This window comes from Homo sapiens, chromosome 11 (genome assembly GCF_000001405.40).
Source record: "Homo sapiens chromosome 11, GRCh38.p14 Primary Assembly".
NCBI lineage: Eukaryota > Metazoa > Chordata > Mammalia > Primates > Hominidae > Homo > Homo sapiens.
In genome coordinates, this window is record NC_000011.10 from 9,780,532 (window position 1) to 9,799,664 (window position 19,133).

A 19,133-nucleotide genomic window follows, 5' to 3' on the forward strand; every position below is an offset into this window, starting at 1 on the left:
ACAGTGAACCAGAGATGAAGGGCAGGGCTGTTTTATGGATTTGGGTAAGTGGTAAATCAGTTCCTGTGACCTTTCTTTTCCATACTGCCCCAGAACGTCTGTATGAATTTTTCTTCCTCAACTACCATACTGTTATTGCCTTTACTTTTGTGGTCTCTAGAGTCATAGGGGATGTTGATAGAAGGGTACTGGCAGGAAAGGGAGACACACTGGGAGCGCCTTATTTTGCATTTTCTTAGTGTCGTCTTTGACTAAGGAGGAAGGGTCAGCAATGAATGGTGCCTTTAACCTTTCCCATGCACTGCACCAATGCACTGAAGGTGAGGGAGCTCCTTGTGCTCCAGGGGGATGCCTGAGATTCATGCATACCATAAAGTTGGCCTTCGTGTCCCCTTTCTTTAGTTGGAGCCATATTGGAAGCCCACTGTCAGGAAAACGGTCTCATGGCCTGAGCAGGGCCATAGAGGATGACCTATCCTCTTTATAAAGCCCTGCTTGACTCCAGGGACTACATAAGTCTCCTTCTATTATGTGGCCTATAAAGTGCCCCATGGCCTACCTAAGGGCTGCTGAAGATGTTAGCGTAGACACTTATCATGTGTGACTAAGGACAGTCTTTTGTGGGTAGTCAAGCACGAAGACCACTGAATACTAGGGAAATAGCATCTGTTCTTGAAAGTAGGTGGTGACTGAAATAACTAACAACATTTAACAAGGAGTTCATCTGTTTCCATGTGCGCTGGACTCCTTTTGCACAAAGCAATATGTAGCTTTTCTGAGACATACAGACAGGAAGAGAGGATAGCCTTGGGGGTCAATAATGCTGAGTTCAAGCTCTGGAACAATTCCCATAGCCAAGGGGGTCTGTCATCCATCTGTAGTCACCACCAATTACTCTGAGGGCTCCATCATTCTTGGAGACAGACAGAATGATGTGCAGACAGAGCCAGGAAAAGAGAAGTAAGATCAACTTACATCAAAGAAAGCCTTGTCACTTGTGTGCTTTGGGGCTCCCATGCTGGGGCCAGCAGGGATGACCATTTCTACTTCAGCCAGATCAATGTGGCCTTTACAGCTTGTGTCCTCACCTGAGTCATAGTAGCGCAGCTGGAACCAAAAGGATACAAGTGAGATATAAGAGACAGAAAGAGAAAATGCCATGGCTTTTCAAACTGCATTTGAATACCTTCCTCTGTACCTTGGTTATATATGCTGAACTATGCCTCGAAGAATACACAAAAAATTAATTAATAATACTTGTTGCTTCTAGGAAGAACTAGGTGGCTTGGAGAAAGCATTGGGGGAAAGACTTATGTACTGTTTGAAAATCAAACAAATAAATGTATTACATCTTAAAAAATAGAATCAAGGCTGGGCATGGTGGTTTATGCCTGTAATCCCAGTCCTTTTTGGGAGGTGAAGGTGGACGGATCACTTAAGCCCAGGAGTTCGAGACCAGCCTGGGCAACATGGTGAAACCCCGTCTCTACAAAAACATACAAAAATCAGCCAATCGTGGTGGTGCATGCCCGTAGTTGCAGCTACCCAGGAGGCTGAGGTGGGAGGATTGCTTGAGCCTGTGAGGTCGAGCTGCAGTGAGCTGAGATCCTGCCACTGCACTCCAGCCTGAGTAAGACCCTGTCTCAAAAAATAAAAAAAAAAAAAAGAAGTCAAGTAACAACTGTAAAAAGTATATGTAACATATAAAAAGAGGGCTAATGTTTAGTAATATACAGAATTCCCAGAAATTGATAAGAAAAAGATAAAGTAGAAAAATGCTCAAAATATCTCAACAGGCGAGTCACAGAGAAATACAAATGATCTATAAACATCTGAAAAGATGATCAACCTCATTAATCAAAGAAAAATAAATGACAATAAATGAGATTTCACTTTTGGATTGAGAAATATTAAAAATGGCTGATGATATCCAATAAGGTACTAGATCATCTCAAATACTGCCAGTGTGAATATAATTTGTTAGAAATTTTTTGGAGAACAATTTGGCAATATCAACTAAAATTTAGAATGTTTATGCCTATTGAAACATCTTTCCAGGCCGGGCACGGTTGCTCATGCCTGTAATCCTAACACTTTGGGAGGCTGAGGCGGGTGGATCACTTGAGGTCAGGAGTTTGAGACCAGCCTGACCAATATGGTGAAACCCCGTCTCTACTAAAAATACAAAAATTAGCTGGGCATGGTGGCAGGCGCCTGTAATCCCAGCTACTCGGGAGGCTGAGCCAGAGAATGGCGAGAACCCAGGAGGTGGAGCTTGCAGTGAGCCGAGATTGCACCACTGCACTCCAGCCTGGGTGACAAAGCGAGACTCTGTCTCAAAAGAAAAAAAAAAAAAAAGAAAAAAGGAAAAAAGTCAAAGAGACTGCTAGGGAATAAGCCTTATTGGGCCATAATCTGTGGATTTCACTCTCTAGTATACATGGCAAGAAAGTGGTGCTTCTGATACCGTGGCTCTGACCTGAGACTTTTCTCTGTCTCTCCTCTCAGGCATGGTATGAGCAGGGCTAAGTGGAAAAAACTGTATCTATCTTTCATGTTAAAGAAGTCCAGAAGACTGGTAAGAATGCAAGTGTAATTTGATGTAAATTATAGAAAAATTATGACATTCTCCTATGTTATATTTAGAAGCTTAATGGAACTTTTTTACACAGTGTAGGCTCTATGATTTCAGAGTATAGCTCCCTAACAGGGCTTCCATTTGTATATTTGAACATAAATTATCTATCTATATTGTCCCACAAAGACTCTGTAATCGTTATGAAACTCCTTGAGCAGAGGAAAAGCTGGACTCCAAATACAGTCTTCATTTGGAAGGAGTCTTTTAGATGCAGGTCCAACCAAAGCACTGTACAGGAGTAACAGTTCAGGTTTTTCCTAACAGATTCCATTTTATAGATAAATGCATTGAGAATCAAAATGTGTAAGCCTCAGCCTCAAGGCTGAGTGGTCAGTCCCAAGGTGGAGTTAAGGCCTGCAGTCAGAACACAGGAGACCATGCAGCTCTCAGTAATGCAGGGTGCAGAGTTGCTGGAGGTTTGGGTAGGAACTGCTCTCCCTTGAAATCACTGGAGTAAAGACTATGATGCTAAGGATTGCAGAGGCTGCTACAGGAATAGCTAAGAACCTAACAGTAGTCAAAAGATTTCTTGACATAGTCAGCAAGGACCAGTCTAGTACTTGCCCACGGTGAATTCCAAGTTTGGGTGGGCACATCCCCTTCTGCCGCTTTTGGGGCCCCTTTACTCCCCTGTTGCTGCCATCTTTGAAGGGTAACAGTGCCTCCTTTAGTAACCAGTACAGCAGTGGGCACAGAGGTGGTGTTCGATAAATGTTTGTAGAATAAATTAATGCCCTCTGTTTTGAATGGATGCTTTCTGCTGCGAGGACGAAGGTAACTTGTATTCTGGGGAGTGTTCACAGGCATAGGCTTATATGTGCATGTGGTATGTATGCAACTGGCTGAAAACCTCAGGAATCCCCTCACCTGGGTGTTAAGATCAGGCAGCAAGAGATATTTGAGCATTAAAAAAAGAGTTCTATTGCTCTATGCTCTGGGCTCAATTGTTGCTGCCTCTGCCTGCATGTACCAGGCCGAGCTACTTGGGAAACTCCCTCAGAAGGCTATTGCCCTTACTCAGGGACATCTGGGGCCCTTGAGGAGCCTCCAGACTACATATGAGAGGCACTAAAAAAGCAGTCTGTACATGAGGAATCTATCTGTCTGCTAGAGCCACATAATAGCCAGGGACTGGGACTAGCCTAGACAGAAGTAATTTCTTTTGGCTTTAAGAGTATTACCTGATGTTTTGTTACATCCAAAACAAACCAACGGGGCTTCCAACCTTTCAGCAAAGCCCCTCTTTTATAAAGTGTTCCCTCAAAGGACCTAGAAGAAATGATGACAGGAGAGTTAATTTTGATTTACACTTACAAAATGCTGTAAAGGGGAGGGGATATCTGTTGTTTTTGTCAAGTCTCTATTTCCCCTAGATGATTCAAAAATGGCCTATAAGAGTTCTCCCTGGATTTTTTCTGCTAGACCTCTGGGGAAAGACTGCTGCTTTCTGCTGGGATTACCACATCTGTGAGGCTTGGAATGATCAGTAGCCATCCTTTGTGCCATGTTGGGACTGACATAACACAGAGAGAGGGCAAAGCAGAGCCAGGAAGTGGATAGAAGATACTGTGTGAGAAGCTAGCATACCCTTGGCTGTCCTAGCTTATGTGAGTAAATTCCTTTTTGCTTCAGCTAGCATAAGCTGGATTTCTGATGTGTGCCACTGACAAAGTGCTGGCTGACACATGTTCCCTCAAACGTTCTGGCAGACAGGAGATAAGAGCCATCAGGACTCAACTACAAATAACTACAACCTCTTCGAATTATTTTTAGTTGTAATTTTTGTTTTTTGTCTTTTCAAAGAAACATCTAAAACATTACAAAAATTAAAGCAAATCCATTTCAAGTTTATAAAAGGCTGTACTGCACAGGCCTAGCTTATTGAGGGACCTGTGGTTTAGCCTCAGGTGCTGTGGGGAAGTCTTCAGCACAGCGAGCAGGGTTCAGCATGTCACCTGTTTTCATCATTCTTGGATGTATACTGGCTATAGAGCGTGGCTGCTCTTCGCTCCACTCCATTGGATGGGGAGATGCTGGAATTCTGTTCCTCCCCCATGCTGCTGTCTGGGAGATGTAGCAGAGACCTCTTCTGATAGGAAGGTAGGTTGGTAGACACAATTCCTGGGGATCTCGACAGGTGTCTTTGGGACTGAAAAAGACAGGACAGGAGCTAGGAAACCTTTACAGACACTTAAACTACTGACTGGAAAATTTCATTTACAAATATTTATCTCAAGGAAAAAACTGGACTAATAAGCAACAATAATGTACAAAGGTATCAATCTCAGAGTTAGTTATCGTGGTAAAAAACTGGAAACAACCTACACGTCCATTATTAGGGACATTAAACAAATTATGGCATTTCCATACAGTGGAATTCTAGACAGCCATTAAAAAATGATGCTGCTATGACCAGGCGTGGTGGCTCATGCATGTAATCCTAGCACTTTGGGAGGCCGAGGTGAGTGGATCACTTGAGTCCAGGAGTTCGAGACCAGCCTGGGCAACATGGCGAAGCCCCATTTCTACAAAAAATATTTTAAAAATGAGCCAGGTATGGTGGTGTGTGCCTGTAGTCCCAGCTACTTGGGATGATCACCAGAACCCTGGAGGTTGAGGCTGCAGTGAGCCATGATCACGCCACTGCACTCCAGCCTAGGTGACAGAGTGAGACACTATCTCAAAAAAAATAAAGATGTTGATGGTTTTTTTTTTGAGACAGGGTCTCACTCTATCGCCCAGGCTGGAGTACAGTGGCATGATCTCGGCTTACTGCAACCTCTGCCTGCTGGGTTCAAGTGATTCTCCTGACTCAGCCTCCCAAGTAGCTGGGATTACAGGCACACACTACCATGCCTGGCTAATTTTTTGTATTTTTAGTAGAGACAGAGTTTCACCATGCTGGCTATGCTGGTCTCGAACTCCTGACTTCATGCCTGCCTCGGCCTCCCAAAGTGCTGGGATTACAGGCATGAGCCACTGCGCCTGGCAGACACTGGTTTATACACAGTGACAGTTGGAAGGACACGTATGCCAACGTGGAGTGAAAAAGCAGGTTTAAAATAGTATGTCTAGAAAATCTCTTTTATATGTGAATTTATAAGGGTAAAACAAGTTTGATAGCATAGTGGTTTACTTCTAGGTTATAAATTATGGGTGATTCTCATCTTTTATAACTTTCTGTGTGTTCTTTCAAAAAAATGAACATTATTACTTTCATTATTAGAAAAAATCAATAAACTATTATTTTTCTAACAAAAAAGCATTAAGGCATCACCCACCTGTTGTCTGTCTGATAACAGCTCCTGAATTGCTATTTGAGGGTAAGAGATAGAGCCCCAGATGTTCTTTTTTTACCACAAAGGTTTTCTTCTACCCTCCATTCTTCTTGACCTTTCTGTAACATCTGACCTGCTGGCCTCTTCTTCCTGAACTGTTCTTCAGAACACTCATCTGTCCTAATTTCCCTTCTGTTGCATTTGGAGCCAGTCTGATGTGGGTTCGATTGGTGGCTCTACCAGTTGCCACTGTATGCTCTCTGTGCCTGTTCCTTGTGTAGGAGAGGGAACGCCATTCCCTCACAGTGGATTAAATAGGATACGAAGGTGTGTACTGTACTAAGCACAGACCCTTCCACATATTATGTGCTTGATAAATGTTTCTTAAATCAGAAATAGGAAATGGGGTATGAGAAGCAGAAAACAGAGTATTTGGTTTTAAAATATATATATACATTTTTTTGAGACGGAGTCTTGTTCTGTCACGAGGCTGGAGTGTGGTGGCACGATCTCGGCTCACTCACTGCAACCTCCGCCTCCTGAGTTCAAGAGATTCTCCTGCCTCAGCCTCCTGAGTAGCTGGGATTACAGGCATGCGCCACCACACCCAGCTAATTTTTGTATTTTTAGTAGAGACGGGGTTTCACCATGTTGGCCAGGATGGTCTCGATCTCTTGACCTCGTGATCCGCCCACCTCGGCCTCCCAAAGTGCTGGGATTATAGGCGTGAGCCACCGCACCCGGCCGTTAAAATATTTTTATGATAAATGTTTCTTAAGTCAGAAACAGAAAAGGGACTGTGAACAACACAGGGTAGCATATTTTGTTGTTTTAAAATACTTTCTGTGGAGCAAACGTGGTCTTGGCATTCCCCTCCTGCCTTATGTGGTAGAAGATCAGCTGAAACCACACGGGCACTGAGATAGAAAAGAACCCAATACTTTTCCTTGGATTCGGGGTGCTGAGACATAAGTATTATGTCACTGTGGTGAAGTGAGACACTCAGGAAGTATTCAGTCATTTGGAACTTTCTGCCCTGGACCTCCAGGACATGACCCCTCCCCTTTCCACCCTTCCTTCTGGCCATAAACCCAGCTGGGTCTTGTCACCTGTGGCAGCAGGCTCCACCTGACTTAGCACCCTCAGAAAGCTCAGAAGTGGCTCTCAAGGGGCATTGCCAACTCACGCGATCTGTTCTTGGTTCTTCTTTAAGGTCCACGGTTACCCTTTCCCACAGCTGCTGCCACTTCTCAGGGGCTTGGTTCAATTTGTGCTCCAATTTTTCAATTTCCTGCAAAGAAATTAAAAGTTTTCTGATCAGTATTTCATAGAAATCAGGATGGGCCCCAAAGCCACACTGCTTCTGTACTAGGCCCAGATGAGCAGCATGGCCAGAGGGCAGTTGAGGAAAGTGGTGGACATGGGCCTGTGAGGTCTCCCAGCCAGGAATAGTGGTGAGAGCTCTAGTTGGTGTGCCGTACTGTGGCAAAGATGGTTTATTAGGACCTATAACTAGGCCTTTTTGTACAGGATAGCTTACATACTAGGATGTGAAATATGTATCTCAGACATCTGCACCCTTGGGCAGCCCATGGGAAATCTGATAGCCAAAGCAAGAGGTCAAGCACTGGCCCGTGGCCCAGCCCTAATAGCTGAGGTAGATGAGAAGCCAGTCCTTGACAGGAGGAACCCCTCAACTCTGATGATTCAAACCAGATGTGGAAAGAATGAACCAAGAAATGCCCAAGGAAACAGATATACCTTCTGACAGGGAAGCTGGAAATCAGGGCAGCTGCCTCTGTGACTGTATGACCACTGAAGCATACTCTTCCTGGTCAGGAAGCCAGATGGGGAAGACTCTTTAGGAACTGTCTGGCCCATATCAGGGCTCAAAGCTATTCCTCAGGCTGGCTACTGCCAGGAGGGGTTGGTTCCGGAACATTCCTTGCAGAAGATGGTTGACAGCACTCCCATCAGGCCACTGACTACCCACACTTCTGACCAGAGGAAGTAAAGCACCCACAGAAGCCACAGCCAAGACCTGACTAAGGCTGCTCGGGCAACTAAAACAGCTGGGAAGCTGCTGGAAGGAGTAAATTGCTCTATTTGCTTGATTGCTTTCTTGTAACGCTGGAAAATCACTTTTTTTTTTTTTTTTTTTTACTGAGACGGAGTCTTGCTCTGTCACCCAGGCTGGAGTGCAGTGGCGTGATCTCTGCTCCCTGCAAGCTCCGCCTCGCAGGTTCATGCCATTCTCCTGCCTCAGCCTCCCGAGTAGCTGGGACTACAGGCGCCCGCCACCACGCCCGGCTAATTTTTTTTTTTTTTTTGTATTTCTTAGTAGAGATGGGGTTTTACTGTGTTAACCAGGATGGTCTCGATCTCCTGACCTTGTGATCTGCCCGCCTCAGCCTCCCAAACTGCTGGGATTACAGGCGTGAGCCACCGCGCCAGGCTGGAAAATCACTTTTATTGAGACTCTTTTCCAGTAGTGAAGCCTGGTCCCCCACTGATGATGGGGAGCAAATCTGGTTTCTTCATAACCATAACCCTAGCTCAGAGTAAGGAGAGCCATGTTCAGAAGTTACTTAGCCTGGTTCCTTTGCCCTCATGCCTCCAGGGCCCCTGGTGCCCCTAGGTGTGTGTCTACAGTTGACTTACACTGAAAAGGCTGGTGAGAGCATCAGGCTGAGTACAGCTGACATCATCATAGCATGGCCACACTGTTCTCCTCTGGCTCCGTGGCCCAGCTTCTCCAGCCAGGTCAGAGTCTTCGGAGGGGAAGTGCTTGGGGGTTAGCATCATCCAGTCATAGGAAGGGCCTGTGGACAGGGTCTCTTCTATGTAGTAATCCCACTTCTTGAGGCTAGAGACGTTTACATTGGGCTTTAGAGCCTGTTAAAGAAAACAGAAATATAGTTTCATCTTGACCCCAAAGTACCCCAAGCTCACTGTCAGGCAAACCCCTAACATTTATAGAGTCCAGGGGAGGAAGAGTATGAATGGAGTTCAAATACCATATTTCTAAATATTTAAAAATCATACATCAAGATAAATTATTAAATAAAACATTCTCCAATCCTCCCTCCTACATTGAGAAATGTAACTTCCTAATGACGTAGAAGGTCAAGTTCAATAGAGAATTCTTGGATTCCTCAGAATTTTATACTAACAAGTGGTAGCACTGGAGGAGCTGGCCCCAGCCCCCTGTCCTTGGCCTCTCTTCTCCACCCACCCCTATCTTACATTCTAAGGGTCTTAACATGAATCATTATGTATACCCCAGCCCACAAAGTCAAACTCTGTCCACTCTGTCAAACCTGCTACTTTTTGCCATTCTTTGGGCCTTGGGGTCCATGCACTGACTTAGGAGACTGACTTGGAGAAGTAGCCTGGTGAGCAGCCTGAATTTGGGCAAAGAATTCTGAAGTACCCAGACAGAGTATGGTTTAGATGAAGGAGGGGCATCTAAGCATGTACCTTTGGTTTCTTGTACTGCTCACCTCCATGAGGAGGATGCAGCTGGAGGAAGGCCAGACTAGGGTTCTATGATTGGGGCCCAGGGGAGGGGCCTCTCTTGGCCCTAAGTAATGGTGGAACTGCTTATCAGACCAGTCTGTTGCATTCCAGGGCGTGTGTTATGTAGATGTGCATGGTGGGGCAGTTGCCCCGAGATATGTTATCCTTCTTGGGCTTGGCTCCGAATATCTCTGCTTCCTACAGGGGTCCTTCCATGGCTTTGGTACAGATGAACTTAAAGAAACCTTTTCTAAAGTATTTTAAGGTTTTTCAGCTTAGACCACCTGTTGATATTTCAAATTTTGTTAGTTCTTTCTTTCTGGGGAAAGGTGCCTTGCTTTGATTCTCTGCAAGTTTTCCCTTCTAGGTTTTGAGAGCCAGCTCCTAATTTTTGTGGCAAGAATTTAGGGAACAGTCTCCATTTGTGTCACAACCCAAACCTATAGTGTCTCAAACTTTGAAATAGCTTTTTGGTATGAAACCTAGTCCAATGTTTATAAAAAGCTTAAACTGCTTATATATGTTAAAACTAAGGAAAACCTTAACACAAAATTTCAGAAAGTGAAACATAAATGATTTCTTACTCTACCTCTATTTCCAATGGTGAATATAAATAATTAAAGAAAATGGGACTCCTCTTGTGCATTCTGTCAATACATTCCCAAATACAGACTCCTTTTTTGGCATGCTTTTCTCCTTTATCATCAAATAAAGTTCCTGTAGATTAAAAAAATCCAACAAAACAAAATTAAATAAATTCACACTTTGCCAAAAAACGTATGATGCATGCAGCAGATAAAAAAGTGGAATATTTTTTATGGCTTTAAAAACAGCAACATTTGTGTGAAAACCTTAGAAAATAACTGCAAAGCTAAAGACCGGAATGAATTTCATCGCTACAGGGAAACAGATCCAGATGGAGGAAACATCTGATAAAGTTTGCCTAAGCAGCCAGCAGTCTATCAATCATGACTCTTCCAACCCTCATCCTGCATCTATATCTAGATTCAAAGAAGTCCATGCAGGAGGCAGTCTACACTTTTCAAGAGAAAATGGAAGGACTTCAGAGTTGATTTGATGAAGCTCAGTAAAAAACATAATTTTATGTTTCTCTTTTAAGTTGTTGGCTGTTTGTTTATTATGAAGCCATTTAAAGAGTTTTCTTGTTTAGCAGTGTATATATACTGCAGATCATGGTTACTGAGACTCTAGATGACAGAAGCGTGTAGTCTGTGTCCTTGGGTGACTTAAAAATAAAAGCAGAACTTTTATACCTTTTTCAAATAGTCAATCTATTACTAACATGAGCCCACTTTGTTTTTAATAGGGAGGAAAATGTGTTGGGGTGAGGCAAAAAGTAGTTCTTTAAAAGGCCATGAAGGGTGTCTCAGCAGTGGTGTCTTGCTTGGAATGAAGTGACATAGTCAAAATCAACATGCATTTTACCAGTTTATCAAAAAAAAAAAAAAAAAAAGACTCAAGCCCAAGATGGCATGAAATTCTATAATATGTGGGGCCCCTAAGACTAATTAACAGTTTCTTCTCTACCTTTTAACTGCAGGGTCCAGTGCAGTAGTTCTCAACCTTGGACATGGATTTAAAAAACCAAGGGCTTTAAAAAAATCCCAGTGTCCAGGTCTCACCTCAGACCAATTAAATCAGAATCTCTGGGGATGGCCCGAGATATTAGTTATTTTAAAAGTTCAAGTAACTCCAATGTCCAAAGTTGCAAATGCTCTAGGGGTTGCAGTAAGATTTTGAAAGCCACCTTGTATATTGCTCCATTTGGCGCCTTGAGGCATGGATTAGACTGAAAGGCTGTGTGGTAGTCAGCCCAAGTTGAAATAGGCTCTAGGCACCTTTGTAGACAGAAAGAGAATGAGCTGAAACCAGAAGAGGAGATGCAATACATGGCCCTCTGTTCCTTAGGGCTGTTGTAACATCTTGTAATTGGAACCAAGTCCAATGGACTTTTCTTACAGTATCCATATGGCTGGCTTAGGGCAACATGTACACATATAAGGAACATCTTAAAAACAGTCCAAATCAGACAGCTAGTGCCAAATCCTATCAAATTATAACCCTATAATCCAGTATGTAATAATCAACATATTAAGCTTTTAGGACACAGGAGAATTCATTGTGTTTAAGTTTTTCTGATAAAATCTTAAAAATTATGACTCAGCGTGGTGCGGTGGCTCACATCTGTAATCCCAGCACTTTGGGAGGCTGACGTGGGCGGATCACTTGAGGTCAGGAGTTTGAGACCAGCCTGCCAACATGGTGAAACCCCATCTCTACTAAAGATACAAAAATCAGCTGGGTGTGGTGGCGGGCACCTGTAATCCCAGCTACTCGGGAGGCTGAGGCAGGAGAATCACTTGAACCCAGGAGGTGGAGGTTGCAGTGAGCTGAGATCGTGCCACTGCACTCCAGCCTGGCGACAGTGTGAGACTCCATCTCAAAAAAAAAAAAAAATTATGACTGATGAATTCTACCAGCAGTGGTTGAGATTACTTACTCTCCACTTCGTCATTTTGGCAGATAGAGGGTAGTTACCACAGGTGTTCCTAAACAAGGTTTCACTGTAGGCCTGATAACGAGTGCATCTACCAGAACACAAGAAGGAACAGACTTCAAGTAGGCAACCTAGTCTGGACTAGGGACACGAAACTAGGCTTCCTTGATGTTGATTAGGTGGGTGGCCTAACATCCAGAGAGGAGGCTGGGTAGATGATTTCTACTGAGGCTTCGGCAATGACATTCTAGGATTCGAAATGCATGTTTATGTGTTGTTGTTTTTGAGACAGGGTCTCAACCCTGTCACCCAGGCTGGAGTGCAGTGGTGTGATCTCGGCTCACTGCAGCCTTGACCTCCTGGGCTCAAGTGATCCTCCCACCGCAGCCTCCTGAACAGCTGCAACTACAGGAGTGCGCCACCACACCCAGCTAATTTGTGTGTGTGTGTGTGTGTTTTTTTTTTTTTTTTTTGTAGAGATGGGGTTTTGTCATGTTGCCCAGGCTGGTCTTGAACTCCTGGGGCTCAAGCAAGCCGCCCACCTCAGCCTCTCAAAGTGCTAGGATTATAGGTGTGAGCCGTTGCACCCAGCCTGTGTTTATGAGTTTTAAGAGGAAACATGTTTCATAGGATGGAAATGCTTATATTTTCAAATAATCATGATAATCTTTCAATATATACCAAACATATCTTTTTATCCGCATCATTGTATTTAATCTTTTCAACAGCCCTGTGTGATAGGCAGGGCTGTTTAGTTTTTCAGATGAGAAAACTGAGACTCAGAGATGAAGTAATTTACCCAAAGTTACTGACATTTTCTGATCCTTGATCTACGGCTCTACCCGTGGGACCAGTGGTGGGTCTCAGACTTGGCAGCATAATGGGCTCACCTGGGGAGTTTTTATTTTTTATTCTTTATTTTTGAGACAGGGTCTCACTCTGTCACCCAGGCTGGAGTGCACTGGTGCGATCTCAGCTCACTGCAACCTCTGCCTCATGGGGTCAAGAAGTTCTCGTGCTTCAGCCTCCCAAATAGCTGGGATTACAGGCACATGCCACCACGCCTGGCTAATGTTTGTATTTTTAGTAGAGATGGGGTTTCGCCGTGTTGGCCAGACTGGTCTCGAATTCCTGGCCTCAAGCAATTCACCCACCTTGGCCTCCTCAAAGTGCTGGGATTACAGGCGTGAACCACCGTGCCTGGCCTTACCTGGGGAGTTTTAAAAGCTGTTGATGCCTGGGCCTTACCATCACAGATTCTGATTTAAGTGGTTGGGGATGTTGCCTGGACCTTGGAAGTTTTAAAAGCTCCCCAGGTGATTCTAATGTTCAGTCAAGTCTGAGAACCACTGCACTAGACCTTGTTGCTTCTCTAATGAAGAGAACCATCATCTGCTATAGGAGAAGCCTTGGTCTTTGGCCACATCTGCATGCTGCTAAGGTAATTTGCTGATCAGCTTAATTCAGCAAAACAAACTGCTTTATTAAAAAACCAAAAACTTAGCCTGGGCAAGATGGCAGAACCCTATGTCTACAAAAAGTACAAAAATTATGTGGGCATGGGGGCACATGCCTGTGGTCCCAGCTACTCAGGAGGCTGAGGTGGGATATCGCTTGAGTCCCAGTGGCAGAGGTTGCAGTGAGCCGAGATCCTGCCACCGCACTCCAGCCGGGGAGACAGAGGAGACCCTGCCTCAAAAACAAAACAAAACAAAACAAAATACCACTGCCCCCCTGCCCACGAAACAAAAAAACAAACCAAAAAAACCCCAAAAAACACAACTACTCCAAGGAGGCAAATACCTGCGTTTTACTCCCAATATTTGTACATGTTGTTCCTTTCAGTGATAAAGCTGAGTGACATGGTGACCCCTGTAGGTACAGGTCAGTCCACTTAAGACCAGGCCTGGCCAGGCGTGGTGGCTCACGCCTGTAATCCCAGCACTTTGGGAGGCAGACTGCTTGAGGCCAGGAGTGCAAGACCAGCCTGGCCAACATGGTGAAACCTTGTCTCTACTAAAAATACAAAAATTAGCCAGGCATGGTGGCACAGGCCTCTAATCCCAGCTACTAGGGAGGCTGAGGCAGGAGAATTGCCTGAACCTGGGAAATAGAGGTTGCAGTGAGCCAAGATCGCACCAATGCACTCCAGCCTTGGAGACAGAGTGATACAGTGAGTGGGACTCCGTCTCAAAAAAAAAAAAAAAAAAAAAAAAAAAAAAAGACCAGGCCTGGGGCAGTTGTAACCAGTTATACTTACTACCTTCCCAATAAGCAGTATGCAGATGCTTAAGAAATTAAGGTTTCTGATTGTGATGTGAAGAATAACAATTCCATGAGCCAACAAAGGTCTGGAAGTATAAACAGGGTGGAAAATGGTCTCACCAGTGCTCTTTCCCTTATCAAAAGTATGCAGTATCATACTAGACAATTTCAATAGGATGCCCTGGAAAGCGGTATTTCCTGATTTCAGATTTAAAACTGAGAACATCAGTAAATATTTTCTTGGAATTAAGAGTCCTCTTTGTGGTACTGAGTGCATATAATATATTGAACAGAACTGATTTTCGTTTGCTTAACAAAAATGGTCATGTGTTTCCTCTCCCCCGTAACAGTTATAAAAGTAAGAATGTAAAATTCCCTTGGGAAATGTTTTTACCGGGGCTGACTTTCAGAATCTACTCATTACAACTATCATTGCTATTAAAAAAATAGTTCATCACTATCATTACTAATGCGAGTGATGTCTAAAATTTATTGAGCGCTTACTATGCGCTAGTGATTGGGCTAAGAGGCTAAGTGACTGTGTGAAGTTTACAACTTTTTCCTCATGTGATCATCATGGCCCTGACAGGTGGGATGGTATTACTGTCCTTGTTTTAAAGATGAGGAAACTGAGGCTCAGAGAGGTACTTAACCCCTCCCCAAAATACTCAGTTGGTAACTGGCAATGCTGGGATTTTACCCTGGTCTGTTTCGTCTAGAGCACAGGGTCTTAGCTGTATTCAAGCTGCCTCCAAGGGCAGGCACCCTTCCTACCAGAGTGCATCAGGGTTGGAAAAACTAGGAGTCAAATGTTTCTTCTCAAACAGTGTGATCACTTTGAGGTATCAAAATAGTAAACATATTTAATTTTAGAAAGATGCTATAGGAATGACCACCTGCTAAGAGCTAACGTGGCACGTAATTTCAGAATTTGGCCACTTATCCACTCCTCTACATTCATAGTTCAGAGTTAAACCTTAACTCAGCTTGTCAGTCTTGGGGATAGTTACATTATTAGAATTTTCATTAAAAACATGCAGAACTAACAAAAAAGATGAAACAAGGGCATACAGACACATACCGTGCTCTAATCTTTCATAGTCTGAATCCAGGAGAAATGTTTTAAAGCGATTAGACACATAGTGGAAAGCCAAGAACTTTAAGTAATAGAGATTGAATTCAAACTCAGTTGGATACTGGTTGTGAACCTGAAACACACAAGGCAAAGAAAAGAGTAAGAATCAAACAGAACAAAAAGTGGATGCCAGGCCACTGAAGGCTTAACTGAAACATGCAGGAGACCATTCAGTCATTCACTCAACAAATACCTGAATCCCTACCATAAGTAGAGATGGGAAGGGAACCAGCTTTTCCGAGCACCTACTGTGTGCCAGACACCAGACGAGGGTTTTTTTTTTTTAAATAAACATAATCTCATTTAATCTCTACGGTATAGCAAGAGAGGCATTATTATCTCCACTTTACAATTGAGAAAGCATAGGATCAGCAAGATTAAGACATTTACCCAATGACATTAAACAGTAGTTAGTGAGCCCAAATTTAACCCTGGCTTATTAGGCTCCAAAGTCTCTACCCCACTCACTACATTATACTGTGTTTGGCAATTGATAGATATATATTAACATAAGTTATGGTTCTTGCTTTCCAGGCAACTGTGGTGTAATAGTGTGACATACAACAAGAAAAATTGTTCTTACAGAAGTTTGGCAATGAAAAGGATTGAGAAGAGAAGGTGGCTGCTTAAGGGGACAGCAAGAGATGTTTTCTGGTCAAAAGAAATGTGTGTGTGTCTGAAGGCAATCCAGAAGGAGCCAGTAGAGAAAACAAATTTTAGAAAAATTTGTTAGCTAATAACTAAGAGAATAAGATCCTGGGAAAGCAAGAATGAATGAGGCTCGGGCCTAGATTTAGGGAACAGCTTTGGAAACAGGGAGGGATGAAAGGTAAGCAAGAGAAAGATAGTTCAAGTGCCAAGGGAAAGGGCAGGAGCTAATGCCTTTTAGCCCTAATTTTTCATCAGTAAATTAGGCAGTGAGGTCATTGGGCACAGGAATAGGAATGAGTGAATGACATGGGAGGCAGAAGGCTGGGCAAAGCTTGGAATGGTCATTGAGCTATAGCATGCTTTAGGCAAACCGTATACAGACTGTGGAGCCATCTTACATTGGCAGAGGGTAGGCTGATGACCCTGTGACACTCCCTAGTCTGCCTCGCAATCTCACCTCTATATTGCTCAAACAATCTCTCATGACCAGCTAGAAAATTTTGTTTGGCTGAAGTAAGTTCCAATCATAATTGTACTTGCTCAAAAGCTGGTTCAAATTAACACTAAATTTAGGCAAGCTGTCTAAAAGTCAGCGTTCTCCTCCATGTTTAATTTGGCAATACGGACCTGTACTTAGTCAGCTGGGTCAGCCAAAGTGAGCAGGCATGTGTGTGATAATGTTGATTGTCCAGTGGACCAATGGGAATTTAAAGTCGTGATCTGGATATCATTGATTTATCAAAATTTATCATCTGGTTAGGAACCTGGTTTTCTGTGATCATTAAAGGGTTTTCTACATTTTCTTACTGGCTTTTGAATTGAAGTAAAATTTTAGCTTGTAAGTAATGTAAAATAAAATGGATTTTAGGAAGATGCATTAAAAAAGAGTTTGACTCCTATGCAGTGGGCCTGCAAACCACGGAACTGCTTCCTTGATGTGAGCCAATGCCTTCCTGTTGCATCAGATCTCCACAGGACAGCAGAGCTTTCCATGGGACATGGCTCTGAATAGCTAGGTAGCGTGCCATACTCCAGGTTTGTAGAACTGTAAGCATTTGTATTACGTAGAGTTTTCTCATCAGTGAAAATGAAGGGATAAGAAATCATGGGTTTCCTATGATCATGCAATACAAGCAACTAATTATAAAAACTGGCTGGGCGTGGTGGCTCACGCCTGTAATCCCAGCACCTTTGGGGGACCAAGGTGGAAGGATCTCGAGGCCAGGAGTTTGAGACCAACCTGGGCAACATAGTGAGACCTTTTCTCTACAAAAATTAAAACAAACAATTAGCCAGGTGTGGTGGCACGTGCCTGTAGCCCCAGCTACTCAGGAGGCTGAGGAGGAGGATCGCTTGTGTCCAGGAGTTCGAAGCTGCAGTGGAGCCACAATTGTGCCACTGTACTCCAGCCTGGGTGACAGAGTGAGACCCTGTCTCTGAATGAATGAATGAATGAATGAATAAATGATAAAGGCTCAACTTGAGGAGTTTATAATTATAATAAAACAAGCAGATGTGACACATAATTAAGGATCAATATTAAAAAATCTTTTATTTCCTTGTTTTGTTAGCCCTCTATGTGTGTCTCAGTAGTCAACCATGTCCCTTAATACAGCAATTCTCATTCAAACGCTTGCCTCTACTGATACTTATGCACAGCAAAGAAGGCCCTGGGTTTGACTCTCTAGTAGGCCTGGTTCTCTGGTCTTCCTGGCTCCTTTCTTAAGCATTGCTCAGACCTCAAGTTTCCCCCTCAACCTGTCCTGTAATGCCATACAGAGCTCTCCAGTCTGAGCTGTTGCTTTGGAATCAACAGCCCCACCCCAAGGAGCCAGTGATGGAGAGGGGGGTTACTCAGATTGTGGATGCTGGGACAGAAGAAGGGGACAGGGCAACTAAGGATGGAACTTGGTTCCCTACCATCTGAATCCTGGGGATGAGAAATCTGCAGTGTGCTCAGGCAGGGTGAGCTCCAAGGACAACTGCCCCAACAGCCCTTGGGATAAACCTTCAGTAGTCACAGGCCAGCCCCTCACTCACTGTTTCCAAGGGAGGAAGAGTTCTTTCCACTGAACCAGTCTACAATATGTTCTAAAATTTCTTTTAAAAATCTTTATTAAAGCCTCAAGGGCCAGGCGTGGTGGCTCACGCCTGTAATCCCAACACTTTGGGAGGCCGAGGCGGGTGGATCATGAGGTCAGGAGATTGAGACCATCCTGGTTAACATGGTGAAACCCTGTCTCTACTAAAAATACAAAAACAAAATTTTAGCTGGGCGTGGTGGCGGGCGCCTGTAGTCCCAGCTACTCGGGAGGCTGAGGCAAGAGAATGGCATGAAACTGGGAGGCGGAGCTTGCAGTGAGCCGAGATCGCGCCACCGCACTCCAGCCTGGGCAACAGAGCAAGACTCCGTCTCAAAAAAAAAAAAAACCAAAAAACAAACAAACAAAAAACTGTATTAAAGCCTCAAAATAACATTTCTCTCAATGACTATTCTTCATAGAAACCAGATACCTCATACATACTTGTATCTTTTCTTGATGATTCTGACATTTAATCTACTCAGGAATACAATTTTGAAGACCCACTTCTGAGGTAACAGTAGAATGGAAATATGATCTTAAGTTGAACTTACAGGCATTTCAGGGAGATCATGTGCTCAGATTAAAAGTGAAACGTCTTTACAAGTCAAAAAATGCTTTCGTAGCCCAGTATATTGGCCTCACCACAAGCCCTCTACAGTTATGCTAGAAAGGTTAGACAATTTTCCAAGGCCTCTTGTACCCACTCCACTGGGACTGGAATTGGTGCTTGGAGAAAGCATCAAGGTGTATACGCTTGGGGGCACTATGCATGTGTCCTCCTGTGTGCCACAGGAGCACCTGCAGTCGCTAACTGGGGTTGAAAAACAAACCTCCCCCAAACTGGGGTTAACGATCAGGTCTACTGGAAGTGGAAGAGAAGATGCAGAGCAATTTGTTTTTTACTCTTCAGCAATAAAGTAACAAGCATGTAAACATTTCTTTGGTGGAAAAAGAAAAGTCAGATAGACCTCAAGCCTGGGTTGATTAGTACCTAGATACCACGTTTAGAATCCGACATTAAGAAACATAAGGAATTTTCTGAGAT

The 19,133-nt window shown here is 43.7% G+C and overlaps 1 protein-coding gene and 2 long non-coding RNA genes across 9 annotated transcripts in view; 2 read left to right on the forward strand and 1 right to left on the reverse strand.

Annotated features, from left to right (window-relative positions):
• The window catches only part of SBF2-AS1 (SBF2 antisense RNA 1), a 53,027-nt gene that overhangs the window by 22,239 nt on the left and 11,655 nt on the right, over window positions 1-19,133 (forward strand). The gene's annotated exons all lie outside the window — the stretch shown is intronic.
• SBF2 (SET binding factor 2) overlaps window positions 1-19,133 on the reverse strand; it is a 526,174-nt gene that overhangs the window by 1,864 nt on the left and 505,177 nt on the right. For 6 of the 7 annotated variants that reach the window (NM_001425069.1, NM_001425070.1, NM_001424318.1 and 3 more), the window contains 7 exons: window positions 15,300-15,426; window positions 10,025-10,152; window positions 8,578-8,811; window positions 7,103-7,207; window positions 4,594-4,787; window positions 3,820-3,907; window positions 976-1,107 (listed from right to left, as the gene is read on the reverse strand). In NM_001425069.1, the coding sequence (NP_001411998.1) occupies window positions 976-1,107; window positions 3,820-3,907; window positions 4,594-4,787; window positions 7,103-7,207; window positions 8,578-8,811; window positions 10,025-10,152; window positions 15,300-15,426 (1,008 nt within the window). Of the gene's footprint in view, window positions 1-975; window positions 1,108-3,819; window positions 3,908-4,593; window positions 4,788-7,102; window positions 7,208-8,577; window positions 8,812-10,024; window positions 10,153-15,299; window positions 15,427-19,133 lie in introns of those variants that run through there. The other variant, XM_047427657.1, reaches the window with a different exon arrangement.
• On the forward strand, window positions 16-10,713 carry LOC105369149 (uncharacterized). Its single transcript, NR_188521.1, has 3 exons — window positions 16-44; window positions 2,509-2,578; window positions 10,338-10,713. It is a non-coding gene; the product is annotated as an uncharacterized LOC105369149 (long non-coding RNA).